Here is a 12,672-nt window from a genome sequence, read left to right as displayed (position 1 = left end):
CGAGGTGCGGGGATGTCTGGCGACCTGGGGACACTCGCTGTAAGTGACAGGGTGTGACCCTGTGGCCCTGGGCCAGGTGCCAGTGCCCAGGCTAGATGGAGACTCGGCCATAGGCTTCCAGAAGCTAACAGCCACATTTCCCACGCCCATGATGCGCGCCCACCGGGGCTGGGGTGCCCCAGTGTCCCTTGTTCTAAGCTTGCACGTTTCCTCAGCCCGAGGCCTTGACCATGTGGTTGTGGGTGGAACTGGGACTCACACTGTGGGGAAGGGGCACTGGGAGCTGGGTCGCTGCAGGTGTAAGAAGGCGCAGGATGGGAACCGCTGATCTGCAGGGCTGTGAGGCTCATGCTCACTTGATTCCTTAGAACTGAGAATTGCCACTTTGCGCGCCTCCCATCACAGGAGAGTCCAGGGCCTCCTGTGAGGCCCACACAGGTGCTCAATCAATGCTCATGGCACTGCCCTGTGAGCTGCCCTGAGTCACAGGATGCCTCCAGCTCTGGTTTGGAGCCTGGTCCCTGGCTCTGAGTCCCCACTCAGGCCCCCTCACGCCCAGCTGGGGCTCTGGATTCTGCTGTGCCTCTGTCCTCCCGAGTCCTGAGGGGCTGAGAGTTCTGCACAACCCCCACCCTGCTACTCCAGCTCCCCCGTCTCCCCTCCTCACCTGCTCTGGGCTCCCTTCCACCCCAGCTCTGGCTGCCCCTGCACCTGATGTGCTCCCCACATCTAGTATGCTCCCCCCACCTGAAGTGTTCCTCACCTGGAGTGCTCCCCCCACCTGAAGTGTTCCTCACCTGGGGTGCTCCCCCCACCTGAAGTGTTCCTCATCTGGAGTGCTCCCCGCACCTGAGGTGTTCCTCACCTGGAGTGCTCCCCCCACCTGAAGTGTTCCTCACCTGGAGTGCTCCCCCCACCTGAAGTGTTCCTCACCTGGAGTGCTCCCCCCACCTGAAGTGTTCATCTGGAGTGCTCCCCCCACCTGAAGTGTTCATCTGGAGTGCTCCCCCCACCTGAAGTGTTCCGCATCTGGAGTGCTCCCCCACCTGGAGTGCTCCCCACCTCCACCTGGAGTTTTTGCCCCACCTGGAGTGCTCCCTCTACCCAGAGTGCTCCCTCTACCTGCAGTGCCCCCCACCACCAGGAGTGCTCCATTGCCTGCTGTTCTTCCTCCAGGTGAGTGAGCAACTAACCGCTTACCTTCTTAGGTCTTGCCCAGCCTGCACTTTCTAGGGATCCTTCCATGATCATCCCATTTTGATTCCTCTCTTCTCGTGGTGTCTCATTTCCACGGCGTCTGTCATTGTCAGTTGTACCCACGCTGTTGACTGACCATCTCCACTGACACGGGTGCTGAGGAAGGCCTGTGTCTTCCGCATCCTGGTGTCTGGGCCCCACCGGCGGGAACCCCAGTCCTAAGGTGCCAGCATGTGTGCCCACGTGCCACACTGGGCTCACTCCTGTGAGCCTCCTCCCAGGGGCAGAGGGTGGGCAAGGAGTGTGTCCAGGAGGCTGAGTCGGGGCCCTCCAGGCCGGCACACGGGCCAGGTGGCTGAGGCAGGCCAGGTGGAGTCTGGGAAACAGGCCGGCTTCTGCCTGATCAGGCAGGAAGGGGCTCCTGTGAGCGGGTGCCTTGTGGCTGGCTAGGAGCCTGGGGCAGGCTGTCCTGGGCCCCTGGAGGCTCCCCAGGTTCTGGCCAGACTCCCATCCTCCTGGAACTGCTGACTCTTGACAGACACCTCCAGTGAGGGGTCAGTGAGCCATGTCTGTCCACACATCCCAGGCCCACCACCTTCTAGAAGATCCCGTGAACACCAGGATCCAGGTGTGGAGGTGGTGCCCTGAGCCTGCAGAGCTGGGACAGGAGCCCCCGAGTCCTGCCCTCCCCGGTGCCTGGCTCCCCATCCATCCCGGGTCTTGTCCTTCCTGATAAATCACCTGGGGGCTCCCCCCATTCCCTGGGCCTGGGTTAGGGATTAATCACCTGAGGGGAGGGCCTGAGTCACACCCAGGGCTTCAGGATTGAGCAGGGGCAGAGCCAGGCTTCTTAAGGTGAGCACAGGCTGCCAAGTGAGCCACGTGGACTGTCCCCAAGCAGGTGTGAGGCGGATAGGCTCCACCTGTGGAAGCACTGGGGGTCACCGGGCATGGCCTCTGGTACCCATAACGGCTATAAGGGAGTAAGTCTCACAAATTAGGAACTGGCATTTTGGTGCCCGGGCAGGAATGGTGTTTCTGTGTTTGTCATTTTAAGTAGTTTTGCCAAAGTACAAATAGAAGTGCTTATGTGTGTTGTGGAAAGGGGGAATGAAATGGTATCTGTGTGTGAGAAGAAACCCAGGCTTCTCGATAAGCATTGGGCTCAGGGCAATGTCTCCCCAGGGGAAGGAAGTGCCGGGGCCTGGGTGCATTGGGGGGCGCAGAGACAAGCCAGAGCCGGTGAGGAGGGGCCACGACATTTATTGAACTCTGAGGAGCACAGAGGGGGCTCCCTGGCGCGTCTGTGCTCTCCAGCCACCCTGGAAGACGCTCAGGGGACCCCAAGAGCCTTCCCAGCACGCGGCATCTCTGTGAAGGCAGGGCCCCCAGCAGGCTCCGCCCTCCACCCCACTCCTGGGGTCAGAGCCCCAACATCCTCCATGACCCTCCTCTCCTGGCGCTCCCCATGGGTGGCAGGAGAGCCACCCCCCGATTCCAGCACACAACCTGGGGCAGAAACTCGAGCCCAGACAACAATGGCTCTGAGGGGAAACCGAGTCAGCATGGCAGGGCTGTGTGAGAGAGGAGGGGTCTCAGGCAACAGTTCTGGACGGTTCTGGATGGCAGAGGAGAAGGGCGGACAGGAAGTGCTGTCGGAACGCCGACCCAGCTCCTAAGACAGACAGCTACGCTGACACCAAGGAACAATATTTCTAAAATAATTACCACTGCATGCCGGTGCATGGGCAGACGGGAGCGTAAGTCATAAATAAAATAACACTGAGGGGGGACTCGGCGGAGCCTGCAGCCTCTGTAGAGAGCAGCTGTGTGCGCGGGTGTGTTTCTCCATGGCATACGTCCTTTTGTTAATTAAGAAAACCTCTCTATTGGTATCTGTGAGGCAGGGAAGGTGGGCTGTACAGAGTGCGAGAGCCGGGGGCCTTAGGCTCTGGCAGGTGGGTGACGCGGGGGAAGGGTGCTGGGTAGGATTACAGCGTGCCCATCCCGGTGACCTCGGACGTCAGCCTGGAACAGACAAAGGCAGGAGAGGGAGAGACGGTCACAACCAACGCCCTCATCAGTGGGCAGACGTGAGGCCGGGCTGTGTGGCCTCTGTGCTCGCTGGGACAGGCCATCCCGGTCAGCTCAGGAGGTCCTGAGCTGGAGACCACAGCAGAGCACACAGGCCTCTTCCCCGCCCTGGTCCCCGCCATGCCCATCACCACGTCAGGTGTGTGAGCCAGCCCTGCATGGGGGCTTGAGGCCTTCCCCATGTGGAGCCCCCTACACAGCCCTGGGTCGGCCCCTGGGGGTGCTCAGGGCCTTCCCAGCCTCACACCTGGCATCTGAGAAGGGGCTTTGGTTGCCACAGGAGTAAGTGTATGTGGGTAAGAGCCATCTGGCCCCAAGCACGGGTCCCAGTGGGGCTGTCAGTAATGCGGTCTGGCAGGCGGGAACCTCCCTGACAAGCCCCATCCCCAGGCTCGCCCTGGGTTTGCCAATGCTGCACTTTGCCCAGCCTCCTGCCCATGGGCCTGTGGCACAGGGATGGAAAGAGGCCCAACCTGGCTCTGGATCGAGGCAGAAGCCCAGCGGGGCATCAGTGGGTAAAGTCGGGGGGTGTCCTCGTCCTCTCCAGGCAGCCTCTCACCCACTCACTGGGCGTGCAGGTAAGAGAAGGGTCACCGGGACAGGGGTTCCAGGGCCCACGCAGGGCTGTGTCCACCTAGAGGCCCCTCCCTTCTCCTCCCCTCCAGTCCCATCCCGTCCCGTCCCATCCCACAAGCCCAGCTCAGGGCTCTTGCAGTAGGACATCCTTGGGGAGAGAGGACGGATGTTCCTTACATCAGAGGCCGGCGGGGCTGGTGGTACAGCGTGCCTGGCTGGGGGGCTGGTGGTACAGTGTGCCTGGCGGGGCTGGTGGTACGGCATGCCTGGCGGGGGGACTGGTGGTATGGTGTGCTTGGCGGGGGTGGGGCACTGGCTTGAGGCCGAGTGGGGTGCAGTCACAGGGACCCAGGTGGCTTCAGACCCTCCCATGTGCACAGGGACCCATGGAAGGAAGCGGCCTGCAGAGTCCTGTCCTGCCCGTCCCTACACGTTTCCATGAGAATGAAAAAGGAGGCAAAACAGCAAAGTCCCCAAACATTGGTCTTTCTGGAGACCTCTGAGCGGACAAGAGTCAGGCCTTCCAGGATAGTTCTGGCCACCTGTCTGAGGCCACAGGAGCACCTGCCTTCCTCTCTAGCCTCCGGGATTGTCCCTGGAGACGCTTCGGGTGGGAGGTCGGGAGAGTGAGGTGGCCCCGTGTCTACATGGAGGCTGTCACCATCCCATCCTGTCCCCACCATCCAGCCTGGAGCAGAGGGGACAGAAGGGGAGGCAGAGTGTGGCCCAGACTGTGCCTCCTCCCACCCCCCGACCGTCCAGGTGATGTAACGCCGGCTGGCGCGTCCCTTTCCGGGCGTCTCTCAGAGACCCTTGGGAGATGCTCACCTGGCGTTGATGAGATACTGGGCAAGGCTGATGTTGGCCGGGGTCCCCGTGATGGTGATCTGACGCTCTGAGGACCCTTCCGTGGCGTTGGCGATTTTGATCTGAGCTCCAGACATCTGTCGAATTTCATTGATTTTGGTCCCTTGGCGTCCAATTATGCAGCCTATTAGCTAGAAACAAGGACGGGGGGATTTCTTAGAGAACAGCCCAAGCCAGCCCCTGAAGACTGTGGGCAGTGCGCCCGAGGGGGCCGGTGGGACGGGCCGCCAGCCTTGGACTCTGCCCCAAGACCTGAGCTCAACACCCCGGAGAGGCCCCGCCCACACCTGCCTGCAGGTGGTGCCTGATCCAGGCCACCTGCCCGAGGTCAGGCTGAGAGCACCTGTGCCTCTGCTGGCCCCTCTCAGACCCGCCCTGCTACCCACTCCTGTAGGAGGCCCACCCAGCCAAGAGGCACAGTCACTCGGCCTGGGTGCTCCACACTGGTCACCCCGGGGTCCAGGAGCGACCCACAGGTGGCAGCCAGCAGCTGAGCAGGGAGGCTCCACCATGGCCCAGCGGTGTCTGCACCTTCTTGGCCACATCCCAGGGAGACCCCTTCTGCCCAGACAGGCAGCATCACAAATGCTCAAGAAGAAACGTGTGCTTGAAGCCACAGCAAAGCTCACTGCTGCCTAAAACTTAGCTTTTGCTGAACTTAGATTAAACTCTGAGGCCATTCGGGTGCCTCCTTTCATTCCCCTGTTGGGACCCCTGTTTAAAGATGGAACACAGTGGCCTCTGGCCAAGGCAGTCATCAAGAATGAGGGTGCTCCTTGAAGCAGCTGAGGGAGGAGGGCGGGGCCTATGGGGCAGCCATGAGGGGCGTCGGGGACAACTCGGGCCCCCAGAGAAGACTGCACAGGAGCCAATGGCATCTCTCAATGCCCACCATTGGATGGAACGGAGTCCCTTCATGCACGCATAGGCCACGGATGAGAGCTCTGGAGCTTGGACAGGAAAGAGACGTGGCCAGACCTGTGGCAGAGAAAGCCCCAGACTGGAGGGTGCCCGGCACAGGGCACCAGGAGGGCAGCTGGGCACATGGGTCCCCGAGGGCCCTGAGGCAGAGTCCACTCCCACCTCCCGTGAGGCTGCTGGGGTGTCAGAACGGTGGTGAAATTGAGTGACAGGAGCAGGTTTCTGTCCTTACACCAGTAAGACGCTGGATGGAAGGGCTGGGCTGGGCCATGTGGCGGCATGCAGGAGGGACGTCCACTTGCAAGCGTGAAGGGGCTCAGTCTGTGGGGTGAGCAGCAGCTCCATGGTGGGACACAGGTGCCCTGCCAGCCAGCCCTTGTCCCTGAGGAGACCTATGGTGTCTCAACTCTGCTCACCTTAGAGGCCATCTCTGCTGGTTACAAGGAAATGACAGCTGTCTCACTGGACTACAGAACCCTCAGTCTTTGTAGATATCCACAGAGACCCCCACTCTGGAGAATCCAGGGCTGCTGGGAGTCTTCTATCTCCTGCTGCATCTCTGGGCTCCCCCACACCTCTCAGACCCCACCCACATCTCCCAGACCCCACCCACATCTCCCAAGGCCCCACCCGCAGTCCAGCCCTCTCCCTGCTCACACCTGTGTGTGGTGTTGAGTGTGCCACTGGGGTTAGGAGGGTGGTTTCCTAATTGGCACATGGCCACATTCACCTGCCTGGCTGCATCTTCCTCCCTGGTGGCAGAGAGATCTGAAGGGCTCATCTCTGATGGGGGCCAGGGACAGCAGCACGGCCCGCATGGGGAGGGGGAACATAGCTGACTCGGCAGCATGACCACAGGTCCCTGTAAGATGCCAACATCCAGGAGGGAGAGCAGCTCCTGGGCTTTCGCACTGCCCCACTTCCTATACCCCTCCTTGGCCAGCACGCAGCCGCTTTCCTCCCTAACACTTTCTGCGCTGGAGCGCGTGGTGTCTGCTGAAGCGCACAGCACGGAAAGCCTTGTGCACATGTGCTGTTGGATCTCTCCTCGGAGCCTGCTGGAGGAAGTATCTCCCTGCCCCTCCTGCAAACAGGGCCTACCCTCTTCTCTTAACCATCTGCCCCTGTCTTCTAACTGCCTCGCTCCAGCTGTGCTCTGGCACGCATCCCCCTCCTGCTCTCACCCCGCCCTCTCCCTCTGCTCCCTGCAATGTGCTGCTCAGGGTGCCCATCTCCCCAGGCTCTGGAGGGTGCTGCCTTTGCCACAGGCCTTTCCCCTCCTCTGCACACAGCTGTGGGGTCTGAATGCTGATGGGACATCATTGAGCAGCCAGGGCATGCCCGCCTAACCACAAATGCCAAGGTGAACAGCACTGTGACTTCTATACTGGCACTCTCTGCCATGAGAAGGGAATGTGGGGAGGTCGGACCTCCTTCACCTGCCCTGCCCTAGGCCAGCTGGCTCAGTGCAGGGGAGGATGCCTTCTAGGCTGAGCCCTGCAGCCCAAGGGCACCTCCCACCTGGCCCCACCTGCACCTGCAAACCCTGCCAGCAGTTAGCAGACTCCTCTCCTCCTCTCTCCTCACCCTTGTGTGCCTCCATTGCAAATTCAAAGAAGAACGATAGAAATATTCTGAAATAATGTGGCCCCTCCTAATCAGATGTCAATGCCAAATTCCACGGGAACTGCAGTAACAACTCCCATTGCAGCCTCTCCTCCTAGAGACCACTGTCGGACACCTTAGATTCCTTTCCCCAGCAGAAGGCCTGGCTGATTCTGCAGCTAAGAACCAAGGAAAGGGGCATGAGCCTTGGTGGGTGGGTGACTGTTGCTTAGGGCAGAGTAGGGGTGACCACAGGCACCAGTGCCTGCATGACCAAGAGCAAGGACTGAAATAGGTGGTGAGGGAGGCCCACAGTGATCGTCAGAAAGGGAACCAAAGGGCTGGGGCCCCTGGACTGGCCTGTGTCCCCAGTGGCCGTGCTGGGGAGCCTGTGAGTCTCAGGAGTCCCTGCCTCCAAGCAGTGTCTTTCTGCAGGAACGCTGAGGCAGCATGATCCAACTGTGACCAAGAGACGGACGTGGACGAGATGACAGGCAAGTTCAGAACAAGCACGCCCATTTTATTTTTTCCTTTTCTCCAAGAAGGTAGCAGGCAGCCACCATGTGAGGAACATCAGCTTTGGTGCAGCCCAGATACATCCCCCACAAAATCTGGGGGTGCTGGTGAAAGCCCCCTGACAGTGTCGTCAATAGCCTTTTCCATGAAGAAGCATGGAAGGCTGTACCCAAAGGCACTGGGATAAGAGGAAGCTGCCTTCCTTCTGAGAAGTGGGTCTCTTCCCTAGGAAGATCCCCAGGAGGAGGATGGGAAGTGAGTGATGAAGAGCTGGGAAAACCAGCATCCATCTGTACAAAGGAGACCCCAGGAAACAGGTTGACCAACTCTCCAAAGATGTCTCATTCTCTTAAAGCTCATTTCCATTTTAAATGAGTGTTTGGATAAGAGCACCAAACCTGGTGTTAGTGAGCACTGACTCACCAAAGAAGGAAAACCCCACAGGAAAAGCCTGGTGGCTTTACTACCTGGAGGAAAAGACTCAGGAGGATGCCAGAAGCCAAATGCTGAAGGAACCACTGCAGTGAGGGAAAGGGTTGGGGAAAAATCCCCTCCCTCCAAGAATGCAGGGACCAGTTGGCTGTGCCACCCCACACCTGGGGAGATGGCTCTGTGCTGCTGCCTTTCAAGTTGGGCCAACCTCAGAAATCCTTGGGGATGCCAGAAGGCTGGACCACAATGCTGCCTGGAGTGTGAGTGTCCTGAGCTTCTTTTAGCAGACATGGGGACTCTGTGCCTGACCAGCAACCGGGATAGAAGAAGGCCTAGAGTGCACATTGCCATGAGGGGCTCAAATGAAGATGGCTCTTCAGGCGGGTCAGTGGCACCAGCCAGACAGCCTCATGGTCCATTCCTCTGGCGACCCTGCTCTCTTCTGCCTCTTTTTCTCCTGCTCCACTGTCCATCTTCCACACACAGGACTGGTGATCTCCCTGAACTGCCAAATCTGTGCTTCCTATGGTCAACTTGTATGAAAGGAAGGAACAGGGCTTAGATTTCCTGCCCAGCAGGTGTAAAGGGGCAGAACAGTGAAGATTCCCAAAGTCCACAGCTCTAGGGCAGAAAAGCCTCCTGGACACTTGAGCTGTAAGTGGGGCAGCCACCTCCACAGCCCACACAGGGACTCTGCTTGCTGCTCTGGCAGCTATCCCTTAAGGACATGTGGCCCATGCCCTCCCTGGTCTCTCAGTTTCTGGATAAGTCAAGCATTCAGAGAATAGTCCTCTCTATCCTCAAGACCCGTGCTTACTCTGGGGAGGACTGTGTGTGTTGAGGGGAGCTCGTAAGGCCACACCCTCAGGTATGCTGAAGGCATGAATAGACTGACGAGTGCTAGAAGGAATCTAGACAAGTCTGTGACATCCAACCAGCTTCAAGTCTGTTGGAGCCAACTCATGGAGAATCCCAAACCTCCTGAGGGGCCAGGGCCCATGGAGATAATACTGCAGGTGGGTCCACTCTAGAGCATTCCTGGGCCACCTTGTTCTTCAAGGTTTGGCCCGCACCAGGGCAGTGCCTCCACAGCAACATAGGTTCTCAGCCCAACTCTCATCTGACTACTGATTAATATCTGAAGTCCCCTTTAGCCTGTTGCTTGTTCAACATCTTAGGGATGTAAAAACACATAACTTTTTATGGGCATTAAACCCACTTTAAAAAGGAAAGGAGGGAGGACACAGATCAAACAGTGGGGTTGGGGTGGTGAAGGCATTACCAAGCAGTGGGTCCCTCTGCCCAAAGGACAGCAGAGCTGACAGCCACTTGTGCCTGGTGTTTCTACCCAGGGACAGGCAGGTACAGCGGGCATACTCACATCATTGGGAATGGTGAGCTCATGAGTGCTGGCCGGTGGGCTGGCGTCCAGACCTGGGTATACCAAGGGGACATGGTTAGGCTGGTGGAAGGCTGCTAACAGTCACACTCCAGTGCCTGTCCCTCACTCTCCTGGGTCAAGTGAGACAGGGCTGTAGAGCTGGCCCAAGTGTGAGGGTCAGCACAGCCCAGAGGGCCAGGACCCTGTGAGCTTCAGTCCCAAACTGCCACCCAATTTCCTTAGTCCCAACCTCTCTCAAAAGAAGGAAAGAGAAACCCAAGCAGGACATTTTGTTTTTTTCATTTTGTGCACAGCGTGACTTCACTCCCCTGTTATGTTTGTATACTCTCTTGTGACACCTTGGAAAGCCACCCTGGTGGGCCCCTGGCTGAAGGGCAGGGCCATCCAGCATGTCTCAGGGTCTCTGTGCAGCACCCAGGGCACAGGCCATGCTGGTCACACTGATGCTGAGTGCCCATTTTCCCTTAGTTCTCAGGAGACACCACTGGTTCTGAGGCCCACACGGCTCTACCCGACAGTGCCCCACCTCCCTGTGACACCCCCCGGCCTCCTGCAGGGGACAGCAGATGGCAGAGCATGCAAAGTTGCCTCTCATTCTGATTCTGATGTAACTGTCCAGAGGCCCCTGCACATAGCCTGGCTCAGACAGCTCAGGCCCACCAGGCAGTTCTTCCAATTTGGAGCAAGGAGACCTAATGGCATCACTGAGCCAAAAATGAAGTGCTAGGGCCAATGAAAAGCTGCACATTTCTATATAGATACCTTTCTTTGTTGAAGAGTGACAATATGGGTCTAATTGATCATCAAGCCTAAGCTTTTATATTTACAAATCTCCACTTAGTACCATCAGATAAAAGACAACCTCTCAGAGTTCAAGTCCATGATTTGCTCTTGCTTGGAAGCTGCAAGCCCCATGAGTACTGGCACAGGAGGGGCCAGAGGCTGCTCTGCTCTTCGTGCTCAGCATTTCCATTTCCTGGACAAGTGGCGGCTCCAACCTGCAAGTCTAACGCTGACACTCTGCTCTTCCCCTTGCAGGCCCCACGTGGTTCTTGTAACTCGGATTCTGCAGCTCAGCCTGGGCCCTGGAGACCCCAGGATCCACCCCTCCTAACCATCGCAGGCCCAGCTGATGTACCTTCAGAATACCCCAGACTGGGGAGCCCTCCTCCCACCCCCATGCTTCCCTCTTGCTGGTTCCTGCCTCTGCTGTGCCCCTCAGCCTAGGTTCCAGACAGACCAGAGGGGTCCCCAAAATGCACCTCCAATGGTTGGAGACTCCCAATGAGCTCCTACTTCCTCACGGCGCCTCCTGTGCCCCCCAACTCCATGTTAAAGCCACACAGCTCCTGTTCCTCCCCACCACCTCTGCCCTGCCCCCCGTCCCTGCCAGCCACACCCTCCCTGGGCCCTGGGTGGGGCAGTTTGTCCACAATGCCACCTCTCATCTTGTCTTATGGTACTGGCACCACCTCTCACTGTGGCCAGCCAGTCTCCCTGGCAGGGAGTGACCCCACAGGGCAGACGTGGTCCTGTGGGACCGTCCAGCACAGGAGGGGATCAGCTGGTGCTGAATGAACCAATTCATCTCTAATTCTCCATTATTTTTCCTTTGCATATATAAGCCTAGAGTTTCTGTTCTTTATATTCTTTTAATAAAGATACTTTCAAAACAACACTTATTTGGTTATTCAGTTATCTATACACATTCCATAAACAGTGATATTTAAAATGTCACTGAAAAGATTTCCTTGGTCCTGCCTGAGTCCTAGACAGAAATTCCTGAACAAAGTAGACCTTAGATGAATAGAGAGGAGTGAGCCAGACCTGTTGAACTTGGGATATTTTGATTGAAGGGAGGAAAGTATGGGAAATCTTCCTAGGAGGGCATTAAAGTTAAGCAAATAATATAAAGAAATGTCTGCATAACCAGGACAATCATCTCAGGACAGCATGGTCAATGTGTTCATTCATCTCAGGACGGCAAGGCCCAGGTGTTCATCCCTCTCAGGAGAGCATGGCTGATGTGTTCATTCATCTCAAGACAGCATGGCCCAGGTGTTCATTCGTCTCAGGACAGCATGGCCCAGGTGTTCATTCATCTCAAGACAGCATGGCCCAGGTGTTCATTCATCTCAAGACAGCATGGCCAATGTGTTCATTCATCTCAGGATGGCATGGCCGATGTGTTCATTCATCTCAAGACGGCGTGGCCGATGTGTTCATTCATCTCAGAACGGCATGGCTGATGTGTTCATTCATCTCAAGACAGCATGGCCGATGTGTTCATTCATCTCAGAACGGCATGGCCCAGGTGTTCACTCATCTCAGGACAGCATGGCTGATGTGTTCATTCATCTCAGGATAGCTTGGCTGATGTGTTTATTCATCTCATGACGGCATGGACCAGGTGTCCATCCATCTCAGGACGGCAAGGCCCAGGTGTTCGTTCATCTCAGGACAGCATGGCCGATGTGTTCATTCATCTCGGGACGGCATGGCTGATGTGTTCATTCATCTCAGGATGGCATGGACCAGGTGTTCATCCACCTCAGGACAGCATGGCCAATGTGTTCATTCATTTCAGGATGGCATGGCCCAGGTGTTCATTCATCTCAGGACAGCATGACTGTTGTGTTCATTCATCTCAGGACGGCACGGCCGACGTGTTCATTCATCTCGGGACAGCATGGCCCAGGTGTTCGTTCATCTCAGGACAGCATGGCCCGGGTGTTCGTTCATCTCAGGACGGCATGGCCGACGTGTTCGTTCATCTCAGGACGGCATGGCCCAGGTGTTCGTTCATCTCAGGACAGCATGGCCCAGGTGTTTGTTCATCTCAGGACAGCATGGCCGATGTGTTCATTCATCTCAGGACGGCATGGCCGATGTGTTCATTCATCTCAGGATGGCATGGACCAGGTGTTCACTCATCTCAGGACAGCATGGCTGATGTGTTCATTCATCTCAGGATAGCTTGGCTGATGTGTTTATTCATCTCATGACGGCATGGACCAGGTGTCCATCCATCTCAGGACGGCAAGGCCCAGGTGTTCGTTCAT

At 57.4% G+C, this 12,672-nt stretch overlaps 1 protein-coding gene across 26 annotated transcripts in view; it reads right to left on the bottom strand.

The window, feature by feature from the left end:
* Window positions 1-2,444: 2,444 nt before the first annotated feature.
* The window catches only part of PCBP3 (poly(rC) binding protein 3), a 298,726-nt gene continuing 288,498 nt past the window's right edge, over window positions 2,445-12,672 (bottom strand). For 25 of the 26 annotated variants that reach the window (NR_189734.1, NR_145493.2, NM_001382284.1 and 22 more), the window contains 3 exon segments: window positions 2,445-3,225; window positions 4,696-4,865; window positions 9,590-9,642. Coding sequence is in view for 23 of the 26 variants with exons in the window: in NM_001382284.1 (NP_001369213.1) it covers window positions 3,189-3,225; window positions 4,696-4,865; window positions 9,590-9,642 (260 nt within the window). In the remaining 3 variants the exon portion in view is untranslated. 26 annotated transcript variants of the gene reach the window in all.

This window comes from Homo sapiens, chromosome 21, assembly GCF_000001405.40.
Source record: "Homo sapiens chromosome 21, GRCh38.p14 Primary Assembly".
NCBI classification, from domain to species: Eukaryota; Metazoa; Chordata; class Mammalia; order Primates; family Hominidae; genus Homo; species Homo sapiens.
Note: the sequence above shows the minus strand (reverse complement) of the source record. Positions and strands in the feature narration are given on the sequence as shown.